This window comes from Homo sapiens, chromosome 14 (assembly GCF_000001405.40).
Source record: "Homo sapiens chromosome 14, GRCh38.p14 Primary Assembly".
In the NCBI taxonomy this organism is placed as follows: domain Eukaryota; kingdom Metazoa; phylum Chordata; class Mammalia; order Primates; family Hominidae; genus Homo; species Homo sapiens.
In genome coordinates, this window is record NC_000014.9 from 66,693,010 (window position 1) to 66,720,404 (window position 27,395).

General features: G+C 37.6%; 1 protein-coding gene across 20 annotated transcripts in view, besides 2 other annotated features; it reads left to right on the forward strand.

Annotated features, from left to right (window-relative positions):
* The window catches only part of GPHN (gephyrin), a 1,227,209-nt gene that overhangs the window by 184,863 nt on the left and 1,014,951 nt on the right, over positions 1–27,395 (forward strand). The gene's annotated exons all lie outside the window — the stretch shown is intronic.
* Positions 21,419–21,619: a silencer, noted in NCBI's record as "peak2180 fragment used in MPRA reporter construct". NCBI's record gives its function as "represses an SCP1 promoter by STARR-seq MPRAs in K562 erythroleukemia cells {active_cell/tissue: K562}" and the evidence as "EXISTENCE:reporter gene assay evidence [ECO:0000049][PMID:32103011]".
* Positions 27,113–27,282: an enhancer, noted in NCBI's record as "experimental_35767 CRE fragment used in MPRA reporter constructs". NCBI's record gives its function as "activates a minimal promoter by MPRAs in K562 erythroleukemia cells, with activity observed for the non-introgressed 14:67186925 variant allele {active_cell/tissue: K562}" and the evidence as "EXISTENCE:reporter gene assay evidence [ECO:0000049][PMID:34662402]".

Genomic DNA, 27,395 nt, shown 5'->3' on the forward strand with positions numbered 1-27,395 from the left:
AGAATAAAATTATTTAATTCACATAAAATATAAATAAGCCCACTACATATTAAAATAAATAATATAATGAAAAATAGCTGTATATTTCAAAACTCCCAAAATAGTCAAAATATTAACAGTTTTTTTACATTTTATAAATCTCTATAATCTCTGGCTTAATAAAAGATAGCTAAATTTTCAAATAACTGTTTCTACGTTTAATCTGTTGTAATATGTTTTTGTTGAAATTTGTGAGGAAAATTATGCTTGGAACAATTATGTAACTTGGAAGGAATATTTTAATAACTTTTTCTAATGAATATGGATATTATTTGTTTTGCTATTTTACTCAAACTGGACAATAATGATAGACAGTTTCTTAAAGGTAAGTGTAGTAGTCAGAGTTCTCCAAGAAACAGAACCAATGATTGATTGATTGATAGATAGATAGGTAGATACATACATACATATATACATACGGGATTTATTAGGAGAATTGACTCATGCAGTTATGGAGGCTGAGGACTTTCCTGACTGGCCATCTGTAAGCTGGAATTCTGATGTCTTAGGACAAGAGAAATTTATATCCCAGCTCCAGAAGAGAGAGGAAATAGCCTATTTGCTCTATTTCGGTCCCCTCTAATTGGGTAGGTCTGCCCACATTGAGGGCAGATCTTACTTACTCAGCCTATGGACTCACTTGTGAATCTCCTCTGGAAACATTCTCACAAGCATACACAGAAATAATGCTTTATCAGTACTCTGTATAATCCTTCAACCAGTCAAGGTGGCACCAAAAATTAATCATCATAATAAGTAACATTGTGGAATTCAAAGCCATATTAAGGACATTTTCATAATACTCTGTTAAGTTAAAATCTATTGGTCCACCAGAGTAGCCAATACAATATTGAAGAATAAGAAAAAAGTTGGAGGACTTGACACTATACAGCTTCAAGATTTATTATAAAGCTGTGGTGATAGGGGCAGTGTAGTATTGGCAAAATAGACAAATAGATCAAGGAAAAAGAATAGAGAGCCCAGAAATAGACCCATATAAATATAGTTGCTGTGGTCTGAATGTATATATCTGCCCAGAATTCATATGTTGAAGCTTAACCCCCGATGTGAGGGCGTTTGAAGGATGAGGCCTTTGGGAGGTGATTTAGTCATGAGGGCAGAGACCTCATGAATTGGATTAGTGTCCCTAATAAAAGAGGCCTGAGACAGGCCCCTTTCCCCTACCACCATATGCGATTATAGCCAGAAGACAGACATCTATCAATCAGGAAGTAGGCCTTCACCTGAATTTCTTGGCACCTTGATCTTGGACTTCCAGACCTGCAGAACAGTGAGAAATAAACTTCTTTTGTTTATCAGCCACCCAGTCCATGGTATTTTTTAAATAGCAGCTCAAATAGACTTAAGACAATGTTCAACTGGTCTTTGAAAAAGGAATAAACAAAATACAATGGAGCAAAGATAGTTTTTTTAACAAATGGTGCTGGAACACCTGGACATCTGCATGCTTTAAAAAATTGAATCTGGACGTAGACCTTACACCCTTAAAAAAGTTAATTCAAAGTGGATCATAGGACTACATATAAAACACAAAACTATAAAACTGCCAGACAATAATATAGGAGAAAGCCTAGGTAACCTTGGGTATGGCAGTGATTTTCAGCTCTAAAGGTACCATCCACAAAAGAAAATATTGGTAAGCTGGGCTTCATTAAAAACTCTGCTCTACAAACACAATGCCATGAAATGAAAAGAGAAGCCACAGACTGGGAGAAATATTTTCAAAAGACGCATCTGATAATGTACTATTACTTAAAAATATACAAGAACTCCTAAAACTCAGCAATAAGAAAATGAACAACCCTAGGCCGAGCGCAGTGGCTCACGCCTGTAATCCCAACACTTTGGGAGGCCAAGGCAGGTGGATCACTTAAGGTCAGGAGTTCATGACCAAGCCTGGCCAACTTGGTGAAACCCCATCTCTACCAAAAATACAAAAATTAGCCATGCGCGGTGGTGCACGACTGTAATCCCAACTACTCAGGAGGCTGAGGCAGGAGAATGGCTTGAACCCAGGAGGCGGAGGTTTCAGTGAGCCGAGAACATGCCACACTGCACTGCAGCCTGGGCAACAGAGCAAGACTCTGTCTTAAAAAAATAAATAAATAAAAATAAAAATAAAAATAAACTCTATTGAAAAGTGGGCCAAAGACCTTAACAAACACCTCACCAAAGAAGATATACAGATGTCAAATAAGTATATAAAAAGATGTTCTACATTTTATGTCATCATGGAAATGCAAATTAAAACAACAGTGAAATATTACTACATATCTATTAGAATGGTCATAATCTGGAATACTGACAATACCAAGTGCTGATGAGGATGTGGGGCAAGAAACTCTCATTAATTGCTGGTGGGAATGCAAGATGGCATAGCCACTTTGGAGGACAGTTCAGTGGTTTTTTAACATGCATTCCAGCAGTTTTGCCCCTTGGTATTTATCCAAATGTGTTGAAAATGTACATCCACACAAAAATCTGCACATAGATTTTTATAGAAACTTTATAAATGACAAAACTTGGAAGCAACCAAGATAACCTTCAGTGGGTGAATGGATAAGTAAACTGTGGTACATCCAGATAATGGAATATTATTCAGTGCCAAAAAGAAATGAGCTATCAAACTATGAGAAGATAAGAAGGAAACTTAAATGCATATTACTACATCAAAGCAGCCAATCTGCAAAAGCTACACATTGTAAGTATCCAGCTATATGACTTTCTGGAAAAGGCAAAACTATGAAGATAGTAAAAGAATCAGTGCTTGCCAGAGGTTAGAGAGGAGGAAGGGATGAGCAGGCAGAGTACAGAGGATTTTTAGGGCAGTAAAACTACTCTGAATGATACTACAATGAAGGAAACATGTTATGATGCATTGTCTAAACCATAGAATATACAACACTGAAAATGAACCCTAATGTAAACTGTGGACTTTGGGTGATAATGATGTGTCAGTGGAGGTTTATCAGTGGTAATAAATGTGCCACTTCGTTGGGGTATGTTGATAATGGGAGAAGCTATGCATATTGCAGTACAAGGGATATATGGGAAATTATATGGAAAAATTTCTCACTTCCTAAAGATGCTATGAATTTCTTTTTCCTTTAAAGAAGTTTATGCAGATTTGTGGTTATCTCATAAACAAAATTAACCATAAAAGAGTAATCCTCATTAGAAAAATATTTAAGTCACGTTTTTAAAGTCTGCTCAATTTTGCTGTAAACCTGAAACTAATCTAAAAATGTAAAGTTTTGTTTTACTATCCATTAGCCTTGAGTCTTCCAATTCTGGAAAGATGGAGTAAATGTACTTTGGTCTATTCCTCATGCTAAGTACAACTGAAAGTCCTAAGAAATAATGTGGTGGTGTGTTCTTGTTTTTGTGTGTGTGCCTCATATATTTTATACTTGGAGCTGAAGCAGCTGACAACCTAGAAATATCGAAAGACACTGACAAATAGCTTCAACAAAAGCTTTCTCTGTTTAGCCAAAGGGCGTAGAAACCATACCAAGTCAGAAAGCTTATACTATAACCACCCTACTCCTGCCAAACACTACAGAAAAACTGTGGTCCTACACCAACCCATGCCAGCAAAAGTTGAGTGGGGAGCCTGGATTCTCACCCTCACTAGACTGTGATGAAGTACCCCAATTTGTGGTCCCCTGAAAGGGTCTCAGAACCTCTGGTATTCAAGATCACAGCTTTGAGACTTTAAGCTTTACTACTAAATGAGTTAAATTTCTCACTTCCTAAAGATGCTATGAATTTATTTTGTTTTTCCTTTTAAGAAATGTATGTAGATTTGTGGTTTATCACGTAAAATTAACCATAAAAGAGTAGTCCTCATTAGAAAAATATTTAAGTCACTTTTTAAAAAAGTCTGAATAGTTGAAGTTTATTTTTCACCAAGTGATAATTTATTTTTGTCAATTTTGTGGGAAAGTAATGACTTATTATCTGTTTATAAACAAAATTTCTACACACTAATATTTTACATTTGAATACATGTGTAAATTTCTTTACTCCTATATTTGTCCCTCACAGGAATCCACATCTTCACCTCATCTTTTAATAAGTATTAGTATGTTTTGTTGACTACTGAGGCATTTTATAGTTAATCTACTTAAATATTAGTTGGATTTATACCAAAAAGTTATCTAAAATAATATTGTCAATGATGAATTGTATTAAACAAATGTGTTTGACTACTCTGTAATTCAGCATTTATAATTTGCCTTAGTTATGTAGTACGTTGTGTGACTTCACAGTATCAGGTTTTGTGAACTTCTGTAAGCATCCTTTCTGAGAAAGCCAATGGGAAAAGTATAATTTTTTACTACTTGTAATTTTGGATAATTGTTGTATATAAGAATGTTTACTATTAAAGGCACAAGATGAAATGTAGACTCAACAGTATTGAATGATGTTAAGAACAAATTAGATTGGAGATACTGGTGTAGTGTTTTTCTCTGGCTTCTGTCATGTGAACTTTCATTCTTATATTGGATAGATGGTGGATATTTAAAAGTATGGTCTAATCTAGGGGTTGGCAAACTATGATCCACAGGTCAAATCTGGCCTGCTACTTGCCTTTTTTTTTTTTCTTTTTTCTTTTTTCTTTTCTTTTTTTTTTGAGATGAGGTCTACCTCTTTCACTCAGGCTGGAGTGCAGTGGTGCAATCATGGCTTACTGCTGCTTCTGCCTCCCAGGTTCCAGTGATCATCTCACTTCAGCTTCCCAAGTAGCTGGGACTACAGGCATGTGCCACCACAGCTGGCTACTTTTTACAATTATTATTTATTGTAGAGAGAGGATCTCTCCATGTTGCCCAGGCTGGTCTCAAACTCCTGGGCATAAGAGATCCTCCTGCCTCAGCCTCCCAAAGTGCTGGGAATGAGCCACTGTGCCCAGCCTGCTGCCTGGTTTTATAAATAATATTTTCATCTTATGAAATTGAAAAATATGACCCATTCGAAAGCACTTTGGAAATTGTGAAATAAATATTTATTAAATGACTAATTTCAAGTATCACAAATAGTTATTTAAATAATAATACATTATACAGAAAATATATGGATTTTGCCTGAAATTTCATCACAAGTTAAAAAATACATTTTGAAAAGGGATATGATGAATTTTGTTAATGTTAGTCTTTAAACTGAGTCATTCTGCTTGAGCATTTCAAAATGGAGAAAAAGGTTAAATACTTGCTGAATAAGATTTGTCCTCTGATTTGCTTCTGGTCTGTCACTATTTTGTAGATAACTTGAAATCTGTGTGAAATTACAGAATTCATAGGTAAAAAGGGGATGTAATATTTTTTGGAGAAAATTGAACTATATGTTCAGTGAATGTAAACTCTTCTTACTGATGTTGTCATACTCTTTTAAAAGTAGCAGATACCTGGGACTAATTATTCAGGATTTATTCTGAATCAGGGAAATCCAGTGCTTATGTTTACTCAATAAAACTGCTATTTTAAAAGAAATATTTTTATCTTTGGAAAGACAATGATACATGAAAATTGAAGTTTTGTTAGAACACAGTCTTACTCATTCACCTATGTATTACCTATGGGTGGTTTCACTGTACAACAGCAGAGTTGAGTAGTTTCATATGTCACTCAAAGCCAGAAATACAGTCATCCATCCTTTGGTATGTGTTGGGGATTGTTCCAGGACCTCTGCATATACCAAAATCTGCATATACTCAGTCCCTCCATTCGGCTCTGGGGAACCTGCATGTATACAAAACATTGGCCCTCCATATATGCGGGTTTTGCATTTCATTAATTTGATCTATGTTTGGTTGAAAAAAATCTGCAGATAAGTGGAACCAAGGAGTTCAAACTTGTGTTGTTCAAGGGTAAACTGCATTTTGACTGTCTTTACAGAAAAAGTTTATTGACCCGTGGTGTAGATAAGAAATCATTGTGACCTGAGTGAGAATATTAGTCAATGTAACTCTTCAAGGTAATGAAAAGAGTACTGAGCTATGATTTAAACTTAACTGCAGAGAAGTCTAGCATATTCCAGTTATCAGCAGTGTAGCATGATAACTAAATTACTTGACCTTTCAGAATCTTAGTTTTCTCAATTGTTAAATGAACATACTGATACTATTCTACTCACTTCACAGTCTTAAAAGGGATAGCATTAGGAGATATATCTAATGCTAAATGATGAGTTAATGGGTGCAGCACACCAACATGGCACATGTATACATATGTAACAAACCTGCACATTGTGCACATGTACCCTAAAACTTAAAGTATAATAATAATTAAAATAAATAAATAAAAGAAAATAATTTAAAAATAATAAAAGGTAAGTGATGATAATATTATATTAAATATGGTGATAGAATTGCTGGATAATTTAATCAGGGAATGCTAAAAAGATAGTGACTCGATGTTGATAATTTCATAAGCTTTTCATTATGTCTTTGTGAGTATATAGTTCATTAGAATTGTTATAAGAAGTTGTTGTTGAATAATTTCAGGTCAATGTGGAAGATGTCTGGTATTTTAAAGTATTCTGTTTTAGAACAAAATCCAGCTTTTTAATAGCGCATGCAAGACCAGTAATGATCTGATTACTTCCTGGCTCTTCAACTTCACCTCTCACTATTTGCTGTTTTTATACTATTTGTATAAATGATGGAATTAGAGAGAGAAAGGCTAAGATAATAGGAGTGAAAGAAACATCTATGCCAGACAGAAGTAAACTATGGCTGTGTTTGCCATGATTTGTTTTTACAATCTGGTTGTTTACAGAAACAAAGCAACAAAAACTAAATATGAAATTAAATAATGAAGAAGCTATGCCGAAGGATGTTTAAAATTTGAAAAAACAACTTTATAAGAACCTTTATGTTTTCTTATGACTGGATAACTACTATTTTTTTAAACTAATCTTAATTTTAGAGACTATAAAAGGAGAGAGATTACATATAGGAACTTTTCCTTTTGGAAACAATTAAAATTGTGTGTCTTATACGGGCTATTCAACATGATATAAATGTGGAAAATCTACTTACAGAAAAATTTCTGAGGTTATAGTGTTAAATGTTTTCTATTTCTGTAGAGGATATTCAAAGAAAAATTGGTATCAGTAAAATGGACAACTGCACAAAACCCTATTTGTTTTTAGGGGAGGAGGTGAGAGATTGAGGTGGGACTATACATTTTCAAAGAGAGAGGCACTTAGCTACTAGAAATTTAACGAATATTTTATTTTTGACACACATACTGGAATTTCTAAACTGTGTGAGAGAAGTAAAATAATTTTACAGTTAAAATTATATGAAAGAAGTAGATTTGTGATTTAGATTTAGAGGGAAAACCTAACAGTAATACATGTACGCATGTTGGCTGTTGCTGTTTTGAATTTATTTCTCCCTTATGATCTAATTTAAATTTGTATTTTTTTACTTAGTAAATTATTGGTCTGGGACAACTCGGGGATGAAGGATTTTACTTAATTTTTCTAAATTAGCACTTCTGCTATTGTCTTTGCATTTATTATTCATCCTAGAATAGAACAAATATCCAGTTAAAAATCTTTATTATGACCGGATGCAGTGGCTCACTCCTGTAATCCCAGCACCTTGGGGGCCGAGGCGGGTGGATCATGAGGTCAAGAGATCGAGACCATCCTGGCCAACATGGTGAAACCCCGTCTCTACTAAAAATACAAAAATTAGCTGGGCGTGGTGGCGTGCGCCTATAGTCCCAGCTACTTGGGAAGCTGAGGCAGGAGAATCGCTTGAATCCGGAGACAGGGGTTGCAGTGAGCCAAGATTGCACCACTGCACTCCAGCCTGGCAACAGAGCAAGACACCATCTAAAAAAAAAAACTATATTATTTCTCAATTATTTTTATTTCAGTTATATCACAACTATTTGAAATTTGCTTATGAAGCTACCAAAGAGTACATGCACAGAAAGGAAACCTTATGCTTGCCCTGCCCTGCCATCCAGTTTTCCTTCCCTAAAAGCAACCTCTGTTACAGAGGTTATCTGTGCATGCGCACATGTGCACACACACAAATGTGAATGTACAGATACATATATACATATGTATATATGCATATTTACATATGCATGTAAGTGCAATATGTACATATTACACATTTGAATAAAAATACATCTTACAAAAATGTATACTGTTGTGCATATTTCTCTTTTTTTTACAATATCTCAAATATGTTTCATATCTAAACAGACATCACTTTTTAATAGCTGCATAGCATCTTGTTTATTTATAACTAATACATAATAACTGTACATTTGGGTGCGGCCATGATGGCTGACTAGAAACAGTAGCAATTGGATGCTCCCATCAAAAAGAACCATAATAAGTGTGTGAAACCTTCACCTGCAACCAAGGTATTCAGGCTGTCTAATCAGAAATGACTAGGTGGCTGGTGTGATCCACGGAGAGAAAGGAAGAGCAATGTGGTGTGGCAGCCCACTTGGGAGCCACACAGGGCAGGGTAGCCCCTACCCCGCAGCCAAGGGAAGACAGTGAGTGAGCCTGCTAACCAGCTGGGGAAACTGCTTTTTCCACGGAACTGTGCCACCCATGGATCAGAAGATCACACTCGTGAACCTACGCTACCAGGGCCTAACATTTCAACCCCAGAGCCATGTAGATTCTCAACAGCCTCTCAGCTAGAATCTACTTAAGCCTACCAAGCTCCTGGGGGGAGGGGCGACCAACACCACAGCTATGGCTGCCTACTGTCTAAGCCATTTGAGATCCTTGGGGTAGGGGCAGCAGCCAGCACTGAGACTCACGACTGCCTAGCATGCTAAGCTCCCTGGGCGGGGGAAGGGTGGCATCCATCTCTATAGCTCCAGGCTGTACTTCTCCCCTCCTGGAGCCAGGGAGGCTGGACAGCTTGGTCCCAAGACATGTCCTCCACAGCCCAACACACCAGCTGTGGCAGACTGCGGCCACAGTGCCTCTTCAGGTGTGACCATGACTCATCCTTCCTCACTGGGTGGGGCTTCCCTGCAGGAACTCCAAAAACTCCAGCCAGAGGCTCAGGGACAGAACCCAGATCTCCCTGGGCTTGAACCCCTAGGGGAAGGAGTCGCCACAGTCTCTGTGGACCAGCAGACTTTGCCTTTCCTCCTGGTAGTTTTGGGGAATCCAGGCAGCCCAGACGAGTGGGTTTTCCCCCAGTGAAGCACAGCCCTTCCCCCAAGGGACAATCTAAGTACTTCATTAAACAGGTCCTGTTCCCTGTGCCACCCAACTGGGTGAGACCCTCCAAAAGGGATTGTCAAAAACCCTATACAGGAGCGATCCTACTGGCATCAGATTGGTGTCCCTTGAGATCAGAGATCCCAGAAGAAGGAGCAGGCACCCATCTTTGCTGTTCTCCAGCCTCCTTGAGACATCTCCAGATGTGAGAGCGAACCAAATGAATAGGGCCTGAAGTGAACCCCCAGCAAACCACAGCAGCCATATAGAAGAGGGACCTGACCATTGAAAAACAATTAAAGAGAAAACAACAACAACAGCATCGACAACAACAACAAAAAGCCGTCATGAAAACCCCATCCAAGGGTCAGCATCCTCAAAGATTGAAATTAGACAAACTCATGAAGATGAGAAAGAATCAATGAAAAAATGCTGAAAACCCAAAAGGCCAGAGTGCATCTTCTCCAAATGATTATAACAACAGCAAGGAACCTGATAGAGGATGAGATGGACAAACTAACAGGAGTAGTCTTCAGAAGATGGGTAATAAAAAACTACATGGAGCTAAAGGAGCATGTTCTAACCCAATGCAACAAAGATAAGAACGTTGATAAAAGGTTAGAGGAGCTGCCAACTAGAATAACCAATTTAGAAAGGAGCATAAATGACCCTATGGAGCTAAAAAACACAGCATGAGAACTTCATGAAGCATACACAAGAATCAATAGCCGAATCGACCAAGTGGAAGAAGGGATATCAGTTTGAAGACCACGTTGCTGAAATAAGGCATGCAGACAAGAGTAGAGATAAAAGAATGAAAAGGAATGAACAAAACCTCCAAGAAATATGGGACTTCAGCGTTTAAAAAGACCAAATCTATGATTAACTGGAATACCTGAAGGAGATGGGGAGAACAGAAAGAAGCTGGAAAACACACTTCAGGATAATATCCAGGAGAACCTCCCCAACTTAACAAGACAGGCCAACATGCAAATTCAGGAAATACAGAGAACACCACTAAGATACTCCACAAGATCAACCCAAAGACACATAATCATCAGATTCTCCAAGGACAAAATGAAGGAAAAAGTATTAAGGACAGCCAGAGAGAAAGGCCAGGTCACCTACAAAGGAAGCCCGTTGGAATAATAGCGTAACTCTCAGCAGAAACCCTACAAGCCAGAAGAGATTGGGGGCCAATATTCAACATTCTTAAAGAAAATAATTTTAAACGCAGAATTTCATATCTAGCCAAACTAAACTTCATAAGCAAAGGAGATCCTTTCCAGAGAAGCAAATGCTGAGGGATTTTGTTACCACCAGGACTGCCTTGCAAGAGCTCCTGAAAGAAGCACTAAATACGGAAAGGAAAAACCGGTATCAGCCACTGCACAAACACTCCAAAATGTAAGGACCAATGACACTATCAAGAAACTGCATCAACTAGTGTGCAAAATAACCAGGTAGCATCATGATGACAGGATCAAATTCACACATAATAATACTGACCTTAAATGTAAATGGGCTAAATGCCCCAATTAAAAACACAGATTGGCAAATTAATAAATTTTCAAGACCTATTGGTGTGCTGTATTCAGGAGGCCTATCTCAAGTGCAAAGACCCACATAGGTTCAAAATAAAAGGATGGAGGAAAATACACCAAGCAAATGGAAAGCCAAAAAAAAAAAGAAAGAAAGAAAAAAAGAAAAAAAAAAGGGCAGGAGTTGCAATCCTAGACTCTGACAAAACAGAGTTTAAACCAACAAAGATCAAAAAAAGACAAAGAAGGGCATTACATAATGGTAAAGGGACCAATTCAACAAGAAGAGCTGACTATTCTAAATATATATGCACCCAATACAGGTGCACTCAGATTTATTAAACAAGTTGCTAGAGACCTGAAAAAAACTTAGACTCGCACACAATAATAGTGGGAGACTTTAACACCCCACTGTCAATATTAGATCAACAAGAGAGAAAATTAACAAGGATGTTCAGGACTTGAACTCATATCTGGATCAAATGGACCTAATAGACATCTACAGAATTCTCCACCCTAAATCAACAGAATATACGTTCATCTCGGTGCCGCATAGCACTTATTCTAAAATCAGCCACATAATTGGAAGTAAAACGCTCCTCAGCAAATGCAAAAGAACTGAAATCATAACAGTCTCTCACACCACAAGGTAATCAAGTTAGAACTCAGGATTAAGAAACTCACTCAAAACCACACAATTGCATGGAGGTTGAACAACCTGCTCCAGAATGACTCCTGGGTAAATAATGAAATTAAGGCAGAATTCAAGATGTTCTTTGAATCCATTGAGAACAAAGACACAACGTACCAGAAGCTCTGGTACACAGCTAAAGAAGTGTGAGAGAGAGAAACTTACGGCACTAAATGCCCACATCAGAAAGCTAGAAAAATCTCAGATCGACACCCTATCGTCACAATTTAAAAGAGCTAGAGACGCAAGAGCAAACTAATCCGAAAGCTAGTAGAAGACAAGAAATAACTAAGATCAGAGCAGAATTGAAGGAGATAGAGACACAAAAACCCCTCCAAAAAAATCAGTTAATCCAGGAGCTGGTCATTTGAAAAGATTAACACAGTAGATAGACTGCTAGCCAGACTAGTAAAGAAGAAAAGAGAGAAGAATCAAATAGACACAATAAAAAATGATAAAGGGGATATCACCACTGATCCAACAGAGATACAAACTACCATTAGAGAATACTATAAACACCTCTAGGCAAATAAACTAGAAAATCTAGAAGAAATGGATAAATTCCTGGACATGTACACCCTCCCAAGACTAAACCAGGAAGAAGTTGAATCCCTGAATTGACCAATAACAAGTTCTGAAATTGAGGCAGCAATTAATAGCATACTAACCAAAAAAAGCCCAGGACCAGATGAATTCACAGTGGAATTCTACCAGAAGTACAAAGAGGAGATGGTACCATTCCTTCTGAAATTATTCCAAACAGTTGAAAAGGAGGGACTCCTCCCTAACTCATTCAGTGAAGCCAGCATCATCCTGATACCAAAACCGGGAAGAGACACAACAAAAAAAGAAAACTTCAGGCCAATATCCCTGTTGAACATTGATGCAAAAATCATCGATAAAATACTGGCAAACCAAATCCAGCAGCACATCAAAAATGTTATCCACCATTATTAAGTTGGCTTCATCCCTGGGATGCAAGGCTGGTTCAACATACCCAAATCAATGAATGTAACCCATCACATAAACAGAACCAAAGACAAAACGCACATAATTATCTGAATAGATGCAGAAAAGGCCTCTGATAAAAGTCAAAATCCCTTCATATTAAAAACTCTAAATAAACTATGTATTGATGGAACATATCTCAAAATAATAAGAGCTATTTATGACAGACCCACAGCCAATAGCATACTGAATGGGCAAAAGCTAGAAGCATTCTTTTTAAAAACTGGTACAAGACAAGGATGCCCTATCTCACCACTTCTATTCAAGATAGTATTGTAAGTTCTGGCCAGGGCAATCAGGCAAGAGAAAAATAAAGTGTATTCACATAGGAAGAGAGGAAGTCAAATTGTCTCTGTTTGCAGACAATATGATTTTGTGTTTAGAAAATCCCATTGTCTCAGCCTAAAAACTCTTTAAATTATTAAGCAACTTCAGCAGAGTCTCAGGATACAAATCAATGTGCAAAAATCACAAGCATTTTTATACACCATCAATATACAAGCAAAGAGCCAAATCATGAATAAACTCCCATTCATAATCGCTACAAAGAATAAAATACCTAGGAATACAGCTAACAAGGGATGTGAAGGACCTCTTCAGGGAGAACTACAAACCACTGTTCAAGGAAATAAGAGAGGACACAAAGAAATGGAAAAACATTCCATGCTCATGGATAGGAAGAAACAATATCGTGAAAATGGTCATACTACCCAAAGTAATGTATAGATTCAATGCTGTTCCCATCAAACTACCATTGACATTATTTACAGAATTAGAAAATAACTACTTTAAACTTCATATTGAATCAAGGAAGATCCCATATAGCCAAGACAATCCTAACCAAAAAGAACAAAGCTAGAGACATCATGCTACCTGACTTCAAACTATACTACAAGGCTACAATAATCAAAACAGCATGGTAGTGGTACCAAAACAGGCATATAGGCCAATGGGATAGAACAGAGACCTCAGAAATAACACCACACATCTGCAACCATCTGATCTTTGACAAAGCTGAAAAAAACAAGCAATGGGGAAAGGACTCCCTATTTAATAAATGGTGCTAGGAGAACTGGGTAGCCACATGCAGAAAACTGAAACTCGACCCTTTCCTTACACCTTATTCAAAAATTAACTCAAGATGTGTTAAAGACTTAAATGTAAAACCCAAAACTATAAAAACCCTAGAAGAAAACCTAGGTAATACCATTCAGGACACAGGCATGGGCAAAGACTTCTTGACAAAAATGCCAAAAGCAATTGCAACAAAACCCAAAATTGACAAATGGGATCTAATTAAACTAAAGAGCTTCTGCACAGCAAAAGAAACTATCCTCAGAGTGAACAGGCAACCTACAGAATGGGAGAAAATTTTGCAATCTACACATCTGACAAAGGTCTAATATCCAGAATTCATAAGGAATTTAAACAGATTTACCAGAAACATACAACCCCATCAAAAAGTGGGCAAAGGATATTAACAGACACTTCTCAAAAGAAGACATACATGCAGCCAACAAACATTTGAAAAAAAAAAAAAACAACATCACTGATCATTAGAGAAATGCAAATCAAAACCACAATGAGATACCATCTCACGCCAGTCAGAATGGCGATTATTAAAAAGTCAATAAACAATAGATGCTGGTGAGGCTGTGGAGAAATAGGAATGGTTTTACACTGTTGGTGGGAATGTTAATTAGTTCAACCATTGTGAAAGACAGTATGTAGATTTCTCAAGGATCTAGAACCAGAAATACCATTTGACACAGCAATTCCATTACTGGGTATATACCCAGAGGAATATAAATCATTCTACTATAAAGACACATGCACGTGTTTGTTTATTGCAGCACTCTTGACAATAGCAAAGACATGGAACCAACCCAAATGCCCGTCAGTGATAGATTGGATAAAGAAAATGTGGTACATATGCACCATGGAACACTATGCAGTCACAAACAGAGAATGCGATCATGTCCTTTGAAGGGACATGGGTGAAGCTGGAAGTCATCATCCTCAGCAAACTTAACGTGGGAACAGAAAACCAAACACCCCATGTTCTCACTCTTAAGTGGGTGTTGAACAATGAGAACACATGGACACACGGAGGAGAACAACACACACCAGGGCCTGTTGGGCGGCGGCAGCGAGGTTAGGGAACTTAAAGGATGGGTCAATAGGTGCAGTAAATCACTGTGGCACATGTATACCTATGTAACAAATGTGCACGTTCTGTATAGGTATCCTAGAACTTAAAATAATGTAATTTTAAAGGTCAAAAAACCCTGTACATTTATTTTATACAAAGTGATGTTTCAATGTAGGTATACATTGTATAATGGTCAAATCAGGCAGTTACTATATCTAACAGTTTAAACATTTATCATTTCTGTGTGGTGATAATATTCAAAATCCTCTCTTCTGCCTATCTTGAAATATACATTGCATTCTTATTAGCTATAGTCACCCTATAAAGTTTCAAAAGCTGGAGGTTTTGGTGCTCAATTGATTGAACAGTTTGACTAAAGATTTCCAAGTGAATTTTTAAAACATGCACCCAAGTTTAGATGATTTATTCATAAAAGTGCTCAGTATCATTGCAGGGTACTTATGTTGATTTAAAAAATAGTTCTTCAAAGGCTCAAGCAATTTTGCTCATCTTAGTTTAGAGACATCTAAAAACTTCAAAAAAAAAAATGGCGAGCTTAACAAACTGTTAAGTCCCTTTCGGCATATCTTCTTACATCCTTCTTTGCCTTCCAACAATTGTGAATAATAGGACTAGAAAGAGAAAAATGAGAGAAAACCTCATAAGGTATTCAATCTCCATGCTTCCACAAATGTTTTGGAAATATTTGGAGACAGTTATGTATTAGTTAAATATTATCTCAATATGTGCTGTAGCTGAAAATCCTGTTATCAGTATAAAACTTTCTTCCTGTATTTCACAAGAATTGAGCCACATTTAGAGGCATCCACCAACCATTTTCTGGACATGAATTTACAAGATAAATAACTCCCCTTTAGGGAAATTAAATATTTATATATTTTAAGCATTTCAGTATTTAACACAACATGATAAGGAAAGAATATAAAAAGATTTCAATCTAGAGCAGTAATTTACTGAGTCTGAGAGATTGCCAGATTTGCTTGGATTTGCCAGATCCTGTTTTAGAAGTATGCCAAAGTGTGAATATTTTATATTTTTAAATATAAAATAAGTATTTCTAGTTACATAGTTTTCACATGACATGCTGGACTGTAGATTATATGGTTGCATGTTTTTCTTCCACTAAACTTGCATTTAGCAGCAAGTACGGAGCTCAAAAGTCCCTATCATCAATATTTTATATTGTAAAACTAATTTTAGTAGAATATTAAGCTTTTAAATTATTAAACATGTGAAGAACTCTTAATAGTCTATTATACATAAGTATTAAAACATAAGAGTTCAGACCAGTCTGGGTATTTAGAAAAATGAGTAATTTAAAAAATGGATCCAAAGATATTAAAAAGAAGATAATACAGTATTATAATGTGTCAGGAGATATTCAGGTTAAAATAATCATATCTTAGATAATTTGCCAATGAGATTAATATAATGCCTCTTTCTGATGACCACGTTTTTGTTAGGGCCTTTATTTGAACAGTGTTCCTACAGCTTTCAATAACTAAAAGATTAGCAGCCTTTTCTAAACAACCATTCTTTTAAACATAAAATAGCACTATTAAACAGGATTAGAACTCTGTATTAGATTGAAAGCACCCTGAAATGAAGAGCCCCATCTATCACATTAAGCCTGTACTGTAGTCCCCTTTTATCCACAGGGGATAAATTCCAAAACTGCCAGTGAATGGCTGAAACCACAGATACTACTGAACCCAAGTACTGCGATACCACAATAGCTGATCTGATAACCCAGATGGCTGGTAAGTGAATAACAAGTGGGTAGCCTATACAATGTGAATTCACTGGACAAAGGGATGATTCATGTCCCAGTGGGATGGAGTGGGAAGGTGTAAAATTTCATCATACTCCTCAGACTGGCACATAATTTAAAACCTAAGTATTATTTATGTCTGGAAGTCTTTATTTAATATTTCAGATCACAGTTGACCTTGGAAAGCAAAACTGAAGATAAGGAAAGACTACTCTATTCTCATTGCTGGGCAAAGTCCCTCATACTTAGTAAGTGATGTCTTTCCTTAATGAAGTCACAGACCTAATTTTATGTTTTAGCCCTTCCACTTATAAGATATACATCCAAAAAAAGGACAAAGCACTCCAAAGGGGAAATGTATCTTTTTGTCAAGTCAGGGAATACTTAGTAAGGAGAAGACAATTTGAGTTATCAGTGTCAAGAGAGAAGTTGGATTGCAGGAACAAAGTTGATGCCATTAAAAAAAAAAAAGAATAGAAGTTGTTTGTGAAATAATGAGTGTCCACTGCATTAGTTATATGAAGGGAAGTAATGGAAAGCTATGTTGGAGGGAGGGGAATTTTTTAGCCAGAAAAGCACATTTGTAGTTGTACTTATAAAGATGATTAACAGTAGTGCTTATAAAATGGACTGGATCAGAGATCCTTTATACAACTGTAAATGCTTTATATATTATTTCTATAAATCACCCTGGGTTCTTAGTTATTCATATTTTAAAAGTTCATTGATAACTGTATATTAAGATGCTAAAATAATAGAATTGCTTTTGCAAATACAAATATATGCCAAATAGATTCCAGTTATCAATCATTTGGTAATTTACTCCTCTGTTTATAAATTTCAAAATATGTTCCAAGGCGTGGAATCTGAGAATTCTTTTTTCCAAAACATTGTACATATTATATGAGCTGTGTTAAAGTGAATCTAATCTTAGTCTATGCATCATCATATTTCAGAAGCTGTTACCCAGGTCGTGATATGTCTTTTTTCACATACATGTGAATATGAAAATAGCACTATATGTATAAAATTTCTTTTTATGGTAACTCACAAATATTATTTCTCTGCATGTTTATTTTATACTGTTTTATTTTTTCTGTAGCCAACTTCATTAGATCTGCTTGTTTGCCCTCAGGTAGAACATCTGTTAAGGGAATAAATGATTGATGGTTGAGTAGAATCTAGGGAAATAATCGAGATGAAAGAAGCAGTGTTGTACAAAAGTTAAGAGCTGCAGATTTGGGCTTGACAATTTGGAATGAAATATTAGGTTTTCCACTAAATAGGGCTTTTTAACCTATGTGCCTCACTTTCTACATCTGTAAACTTGGGAGAGTAATTCAAGATGCTACCTACTTCTTAGGATTATCATGAGGCTTAAATTAGGTAATACATGTAAAAGCTCATAGAACATAGTCTGATAAGTGGAAAGGACTAATAGATGTTAGCTATAAATCATTATTTTCATAATTTGAGTTACATACTCTAAGAAAGGTCCACATATACCTTACTAGAATAGTTATCAAACTTTATTATGCAAATTTTATTGTACAAATTTGTTTTTTTATGTATTTTGTTTTGTTTGTTTTTCCATAGGTTATTGGGGGTACAGGTGGTGTTTGGTTACGTGAGTAAGTTCTTTAGTGGTGATTTGTGAGATTTTGGTGCACCCATCACCTGAGCAGTATACACTGCACCCTATTTGTAGTCTTAACCCTCCCCCTCCACCCTTACTCCCAAGTCATTAAAGTCTGTTGTATCATTCTTATGCCTTTGTGTCCTCATAGCTTAGACCCCACATATCAGTGAGAATATACAATGTTTGGTTTTCCATTCCTGAGTTACTTCACTTAGAATAATAGTCTCTAACCTCATCCAGGTCGCTATGAATGCCGTTAATTCATACCTTCTTTTGGCTGAGTAGTATTCCTTTGTATATATATGCCACAGTTTCTTTATCCACTTGTTGATTGATGGGCACTTGGGTTCGTTCCATGATTTTGCAGTTGTGAATTGTGCTGCCATAAACATGCGTGTCCAAGTGTCTTTTTCATATAATGACTTCTTTTCCTCTGGGTAGATACCCAGTAGTGGGTTTGCTGGATCAAATGGTAGTTCTTTTTTTTTTTTTTTTTTAAATTATACTTTAAGTTCTAGGGTACATGTGCACAATGTGCAGGTTTGTTACATAGGTATACATGTGCCATGTTGGTTTGCTGCATCAACTTGTCATTTACATTAAGTATTTCTCCTAATGCTATCCCTCCCCCAGCCCCCTACCCCCCCACAGGCCCCAGTGTGTGATGTTCCCCGCCCTGGGTCTGTGTGTTCTCGTTGTTCAATTCCCACCTATCAGTGAGAACATATGGTGTTTGGTTTTCTGTCCTTGTGGTGGTTTGCTGAGAATGATGGCTTCCAGCTTCATCCATGTCCCTGCAAAGGACATGAACTCATCCTTTTTTATGGCTGCATAGTATTCCATGATGTATATGTGCCACATTTTCTTAATCCAGTCTATCATTGATGGACATTTGGGTTGGTTCCAAGTCTTTGCTATTGTGAATAGTGCCGCAATAAACATACATGTGCATATGTCTTTATAGTAGCATGATTTATAATCCTTTGGGTATATACCCAGTAATGGGATGGCTGGGTGAAATGGTATTTCTAGTTCTAGATCCTTGAGGAATCGCCACACTGTCTTCCACAATGGTTGAACTAATTTACACTCCCACCAACAGTGTAAAAGCATTACTATTTCTCCACATCTTCTCCAGCACCTGTTGTTTCCTGACTTTTTAATGATCGCCATTCTAACTGGCATGAGATGGTATCTCCTTGTGGTTTTGATTTGCATTTCTCTGATGACCAGTTATGAGTATTTTTTCATGTGTCTGTGGGTTGCATAAATGTCTTCTTCTGAGAAGTGTCTGTTCATATCCTTTGCCCGCTTGTTGATGGGGTTGGTTTTTTCTGTAAATTTGTTTAAGTTCTTTGTAGATTCTGGATGTTAGCCCTTTGTCAGATGGGTAGATTGCAAAAATTTTCTCCCATTCTGGAGATATTAGCCCTTTGTCAGATGGATAAATTGCAAAAATTTTCTCCTGTTCTGTAGGTTGCCTGTTCACTCTGATGGTAGTTTCTTTTGCCTTGCAGAAGCTCTTTAGTTTAATTAGATCCCATTTGTCCATTTTGGCTTTTGTTGCCAATCAAATGGTAGTTCTACTTTTAGTTCTTTAAGGAATCTCCACACTGTTTTCCATAGTGGTTCTACTAGTTTACATTCCTACCAGCAGTGTAGAAGTGTCCTCTGATCACTGCATCCACACCAACATCTAATGGTTTTTGGTTTTTTGATTATGGCCATTCTTGCAGGAGTGAGGTGGTATCACACTGTGGTTTTGATTTACATTTCTCTGATCATTGGTGATGTTGAGCATTTTTTCATGTGTTTGTTGCCCATTGGTATATCTTCTTTTGAGAATTGTCTATTTATGCCCTTAGCCCACTTTTAGATGGGATTTTTTATTTTCTATTTTTTGCTAATTTTTTTGAGTTTGTTGTATATTTTGGATATATATTAGTTCTTTGTCAGATGTATAGATTGTGAAGATTTTCTCCCACTCTGTGGGTTGTCTGTTTACTCTGCTGACTGTTCCTTTTGCCATGCAAAAGCTCTTTACCAGCTATGTATCTTTGCTTTTATTGCATATGTTTTGGGATCTTGGTCATGAAATCCTTGCCTAAGCCAACGTGTAGAAGGGTTTTTCTGATGTTATCGTCTAGAATTTTTATAGTTTCTTAGATTTAAGTCCATAATCCATGTTGATTTGATTTTTGTGTAAGGTGAGAGATGAGGATCCAGTTTCATTCTCTTACATGTGGCTAGCCAATTATCCTAGCACCATTTCTTGAAAAGGGTGTCCTTTCCCCACTTTATGTTTTTGTTTGCTTGTTGAAGATCAGTTGGCTAAGTATTTGGGTTTATTCCTGGTTTCTCTATTCTGTTGCATTGGCCCGTGTGCCTATTTTTATACCAGTACCATGCTGTTTTGGTGATTGTGGCCTTATAGTATAGTTTCAAATCAGGTAGTGTGATGCCTCCAGGTTTGTTCTTTTTGCTTAGTCTTGCTTTGGCTATGCGGGCTCTTTTTTGGTTTCATATGAATGTTAGAATTTTTTTTTTCTAATTTGGTGAAGAATGATGGTGGTATTTTGAATGGGGATTGGGTTGAATTTGTAGATTGCTTTTGGCACTATGTCATTTTCTTTGTTGTTTTTTTTTTATTTGTTTGTTTGTTTGTTTATTTTGTTTTTGAGACGGAGTCTCTCTCTGTTGCCCAGACTGGAGTGCAGTGACGTGATCTTGGCTCACTGCAACCTCCACCTCCCAGGTTCAAGTGATTCTCCTGTCTCCTCCTCCCAAGTAGCTGGTACTACAGGCATGTGCCACCACACCTGGCTAATTTTTGTATTTTTAGTAGAGACAGGGTTTCACCATGTTGGCCAGGCTGGTTTCACAATCCTCACCTCAAGTGATCTGCCCGCCTTGGCCTCCCAAAGTGCTGGGATTACAGGTGTGAACCACCATGCCAGGCCCAGTATGGTCATTTTCACAATATTGATTCTACCCATCCACGAGTGTGGGATGTATTTAATCATAAAGGGATGCTGGATTGTGTCATCTGTGATTTTGTTCAGCAGTGTTTTGTAGTTTTCCTTGTAGAGGTCTTTCACCTCCTTGGTTAGGTGGATTCCTAAGTATTTTATTTTATTTTTTTTGCAGCTATTTTAAAAGGAGTTGAGTTTTTTATTTGATTCTCTGTTTGGTTGCTGTTTGTGTGTAGAAGAGCTACTGATTTGTGTACATTAATTTTGTATCCAGATACTTTGCTGAATTCTTTTATCAGTTCTAGGAGCTTTCTGGAGGAGTCTTTAGGGTTTTTGAGGTAAACGATCATATCATCAGCAAACAGTGACATTTTGACTTCCTCTTCAACTATTTGGATTCCGTTTTTTACTTTCTCTTGTCTGATTAATGTGGCTAGGACTTCGTGGTGAGAGTGGGTATCCTTGTCTTGTTCCAGTTCTTAGAGGGAATGCTTTCAACTTTTCCCCATTCAGTGTTATGTCGGCTGTGGGTTTGTCATAGATGGCTTTTATTACATTGAGGTGTGTCCCTTGTATGCCCATTTTGCTGAGAGTTTTAATCATAAAAGTTGCTGGATTTTGTCAAATGCTTTTTTTGCATCTATTGAGATGATAATGTGATTTTTGTTTTTAATTCTTTTTATGTGAGGTATCACATTTATTGACTTGTGTATGTTAAACCATCCCTGCATCCCTGGTATGAAACCCACTTGATCATGGTGGATTATGTTTTTGATAATGTTGTTGGATTTGGTTAGCTAGTATTTCGTTAGGGATTTTAGCATCGATGTTCTTCAGGGATATTGGTCTGTAGTTTTCTTTTATGGTTATGTCCTTTCCTGGTTTTGGTATTAGGGTGATGTTGGCTTCATAGAATGAATTAGGGTTGGTTCCCGGTTTCTCTATCTTGTGGAATAGTATCAATAGGATAGGTATAAATTCTTCTTTGAATGTCTGGTAGAATTCAGCTGTGAATCTGTCTGGTCCTGGACTTTTTTCTGTTGTTAATTTTTAAATTACTGTTTCAGTCTTGCTGCTTGTTATTGGTCTGTTCAGGGTATGTATTTTTTCCTGATTTAAGGTAGGAGGGTTGTATCTTTCCAGGGAATTATCCATCTCTTCTAGGTGTTCTAGTTTATGCACATTAAGGTGTCCGTAGTAGCCTTGAATGATCTTTTATATTTCTGTGGTGTCAGTTGTAGTATCTCCCGTTTCATTTCTTATTAAGCTTATTTGGATTTTTTGTCTCCTTTTCTTGGTTAATCTTGCTAATGGTCTATCAATTTTATTTATCTTTTCAAAGAATCAGCTTTTTGTTTCATTTATCTTTTGTATTTTTTTGTTTGTTTCAATTTCATTTAGTTCTGCTCTGATCGTGGTTATTTCCTTTCTTCTGCTGGTTTTAGGTTTGGTTTCTCTTTGTTTGTCTAGTTCCTTGAGGTGTGACATGAGATTGTCAGTTTGTGCTCATTCAGTCTTTTTGATGTAGGTGTTTAGGGCTATGAACTTTCCTGTTAGCACTGCCTTTGCTGTATTCCAGAGGTTTTGATAGGTTGTGTCACTATTGTAGTTCAGTTCAAATAATTTTTAAATTTCCATCTTGATTATATTTTTGACCCAGTGATCATTCAGGAGCAGGTTATTTAATTTCCATGGATTTGCATGGTTTTGAATGTTTCTTTTGGAGTTGATTTCCAGTTTTATTCTGCTGTGGTCTGAGAGAGTGCTTGATATAATTTCAGTTTTCTTAAATGTATTGAGGCTTGTTGTTTTGTGGCATATCATATGGTCTATCTTGGAGAAAGTTCCATGTGCTGTTGAATAGAATGTGTATTCTGCAGTTGTAGAATGGAATGTTCTATATATCTATATATATATAGATATATCTGTTAAGTCTGTTTGTTCCAAGGTATAGTTTAAATTGATTGTTTCTTTGTTGACTTTCTGTCTTGATGACCTGTCTAGTGCTGTCAGTGGAGTATTAAAGTTCCCCACTATTATTGTGTTGCTGTGTATTTCATTTCTTAGGTCTATTAGTAATTGTTTTATAAATTTGGGACCTCCAGTGTTAGGTGCATATATGTTTAGGACTGTGATGTTTTCCTGTTGGACAAGGCCTTTTACCATTATATAATGTCCCTCTTTGTCTTTTTTAATTGCTGTTGCTTTGAAGTTTGTTTTGTCTGATACAAGAATAGCTACTCCTGCTGGCTTTTGGTGTGCATTTGCATGAAATGCCCTTTTCCAACCTTTTACTTCATGTGAGTCCTTAAGTGTTAGATGAGTCTCTGGAAGGCAGCAGATGGTTGGTGAATTCTTATCCATTCTGCAGTTCTTTCTGTCTTTCAGATGGAGCATTTAAGCTATTTACATTCAGTGTTAGTAGTGAGATGTGAGGTACCATTTGATTCATCATGCTATTTGTTGCCTGTGTACCTTGGTTTTTTGTTTTGTTTTGTTTTGTTTGCTTTTTAAATTGTATTTTTTATAGGTCATGTGAGATTTATGCTTTAAATAAGTTCTGTTTTGATATTTTTCCAGGAATTGTTTCAAGATTTAGAACTTCTTTTAGCAGTTCTTGTAGTGGTGGCTTGGTAGTGACGAATTTTCTCGGCAGTTGTTTGTCTGAAAAAGATTATATCTTCATGTATGTTGCTTAGTTTCAGTGGATACAAACTTCTTGGCTGAGAATTGTTTTGTTTGAGGAGGCTGAAGATAGGACCCCAATCCCTTCTAGCTTGTAGGGTTTCTGCTGAGAAATCTGTGGTTAATCTAAGTTTCCCTTTATAGGTTACCTGGTGCTTTTGTCTCACAGCTCTTAAGATTCTTTCCTTCGTCTTAACTTTGGCTAACCTGGTGACAATATGCCTAGGCGATGATCTTTTTGTGATAAATTTTCCAGGTGTTCTTTGTGCCTAGGTCTCTAGCAAGACTGGGGAAGTTTTCCTTGATTATTCCCCAAAATATGTTTTCCAAGCTTTTAGAATTCTCTTCTTCCTCAGGAACACCGATTATTCTTAGGTTTGGTCGTTGAGCATAATCCCAGACTTCTCTGAGGCTTTGTTCATATTGTCTTATTATTTTTTCTTTGTCTTTGTAGGATTGAGTTCATTTGAAGACCTTGTCTTCGAGCCCTGAATTTCTTTCTTCTACTTGTTCCATTCTATTGCTGAGACTTTCCGGAGCATTTTGCATTTCTATAAGTGTGTCGTATGTTTCCTGAAGTTTTGATTGTTTTTTTATTTATGCTGTCTATTTCATTGAATATTTCTTCTTCACTTCTTATATCATTTTTTTTTATTTCCTTGCATTGGGCTTCGCCTTTCTCTGGTGCTTCCCTGATTAGCTTAATAACTAATCAATAATCTTCAGAATTCTTTTTCAGGTAAATCAGGGATTTTTTCTTGGTTTGTATCAATTGATGGTGAGCTAGTGTGATTTTTGGGGGGTGTTAAATAAGCTTGTTTTGTCATAGTACCAGAGTTGGTTTTCTGGTTCCTTCTCATTTGGGTAGGCTCTGACAGAGGGAAGATCTAGGGCTGAAGTCTGTTATTCAGATTCTTTGGCCCACAGGGGTTTCCCTTGATATAGTACTCTTCCCCTTTTCCAATGGCTGTGGCTTCCTGAGAGCCAAGCTGCAGTGATGGTTATCTCTCTTCTTGGTCTAGCCATCTACCGCGCCTACCCGGCTCCAGGCTTGTACTAGGGGTTGTCTGCACAGAGTCCTGTGATGTGAACCGTCTATGGGTCTCTCAGCCGTGGATACCAGCAGCTGTTCCAGTGGAGATGACAAGGGGGTAAAATGAACTCTGTGAGGGGTCTTAGCTTTGGTGGTTTAATGCTCTATTTTTGTGCTGGTTGGCCCCCTGCCAGGAGGTGGTGCTTTCCAGAGAGTATCAGCTGTGGTAGTATGGGGAGGAACCAGAGGTGGGTGGGGCCCTAGAATGCCCGAGTGTACACCCTTTGTGTTCAGCTACCAGGGTGGGTAGGGAAGTGTGTCCGGAATTGGTTCCTTCCAGTGGGTTCTTGGTCTCACTGACTTCAAGAATGAAGCTGTGGACCCTCGCAGTGAGTGTTACAGTTCTTAAAGATGGTGTGTCTGGAGTTTGTTCCTTCAGATGTTCAGATGTGTCTGGAGTTTCTTCCTTCTGGTGGGTCTCGCTGACTTCAGGAATGAAGCCGCAGACCTTTGTAGTGAGTGTTACAGTTCTTAAAGGTGGCACGTCCGGAGTTGTTTGTTCCTCCCGATGGGTTCGTGGTCTCGCTGACTTCAGGAATAAGCCACAGACCCTCGTAATGAGTGTTACAGCTCATAAAGGTAGTGCGGACCCAAACAGTGAGCAGCAGCAAGATTTACTGTGAAGAGCAAAAGAACAAAGCTTCCACAGCGTGGAAGGGGACCCCAGTGGGTTGCTGCTGCTGGCTCAGGTGGCCAGCTTTTATTCCCTTAGTTGGCCCTGCCCATGTCCTGCTGATTGGTCCATTTTACAGAGTGCTGATTGGTGCGTTTACAATCCTTTAGCTAGACACAGAGTGCTGATTGGTGTGTTTTTACAGTGTGCTGATTGGTGCGTTTACAATCCTTTAGCTAGACACAGAGTGCTGATTGGTGCACTTACAATCCTCTAGCTAGACAGAAAAGTTCTCCAAGTCCCCACTCGACCCAGGAAGTCCAGCTGGCTTCACCTCTCAGAAGGACCATCAGGTGGGGGCAGGGCCCAGGATGTCTGAGCTCAGACTCTCCTTGGGCAGGTCTTGCTGCAGCTGCTGTGGGGGATGGGGGTGAGGTTCCCAGGTCAATGGAGTTGTGTACCTAGGAGGATTATGGCTGCCTCTCACACGTCCTTCAGGTTGTCAGGGAATTTGGGGAAAGCCGGCAGTCACAGGCCTCACCCAGCTCCCACGCAATCCACAGGGGTGGTCTCTCCCACCATGCCCCTGCTAGCAGCACCAAGTCTGTTTCCAGGCAGTGGGCAAGCAGGGCTGAGAACTTGCACCAGGCTACCTGCTTCCCATCTGTGAAAGAAAGTAGGGCTTTAATTTTCCTGTTCAAGTTGTTACCAAGATCAGCTGGAGATTTCCTTCTCCCTGTGGCATTTTCCCAGTGCCTCTGGCCGCCCTCCAGAAAGATCCCTGTAATGCCAGACAGGAATGGCTTGCTTGTGGACCCAGAAAGCTCACAGGACTTTTTCCTCTGATGCCTCTATCCGTGTATTTCGCTTGGCTGTCTAAATTGACTCAGCTCCAGGTAAGGTCAGAATCTTTTCCCATAAACTAGACATTAAGTTTCCCCAGTGAGGATGTGTGTTCGGGGGCTGAGAATCTCCCTTTCCCACTTTCTCAGTTTGGGCAGTCACATTATCTCAGGTGTCTCCTGGGTCCTGCAGGAGCGGTCCTCTTTCTTCAGAGGGTCTGTGGGTCCTCTCGGGTTTCCTGATTTATTCCTGCAGTCGTTCTGTAGCCAAAATTCACCGTGTGAACCTCCACACGCTGCTCTGTTCATCCCAGTCAGAGCTGCCATGTAGTCCTGCCTCCCATCCACCATGACAGCCAATCTCCCTGCTGCACAAATTTGTGAAAAACGTATATTCCCATGTCATGGTGAAGAGATTCTGATTCATTAACATAAGGATGAGACCCAGAAATAGATGTTTTTAGGAAACATCATAGATAACCTGATAAATAACATATTTTCAGAAATTTTCTATGGGTTTCAAAAAGTGTAATAGTTGCACTATGGTGGTAATAACTGATACATTCAGGTACTACTAGTGACCATGTAAATCATAAAACTTTGGAAACAAATTTGCCATTTTCTAAAGAGTTATTAAAATGTTATATAATTTGATTCAATTATCTTATTTTTTATTGTTTTTTGTAAGGCAGTAATCTAGAAGGTTATTTTAATTTATACATTATTTCCAAGATTTTGATATTAAAAGTGACATAGAATCTAAATTATTGTTTATCTGCTCAATGGATCATTATATAACCATTAAATTTTATAATTATGAATACTGTAGTATCAGGGAAATAAAAGGTAGATAAAAAGCATAAATCTCATTTATTTGTACAGTACATTTTCAATTGTCTAAAGATTGTCTAAAAATAAAGAGTAAAGGAATATGTTCAAATTTAAAGTAGTTGGTTTTGGCCAAGTGTGGCAGCTCACTCCTGTAATCCCAGCAAAATGAGAAGCTGAGATGGGCAGATCACATGAGACCAAGAGTTCGAGACCAGCCTGGCCAACACGGCGAAACCCCGTCTCTACTGAAAATACAAAAA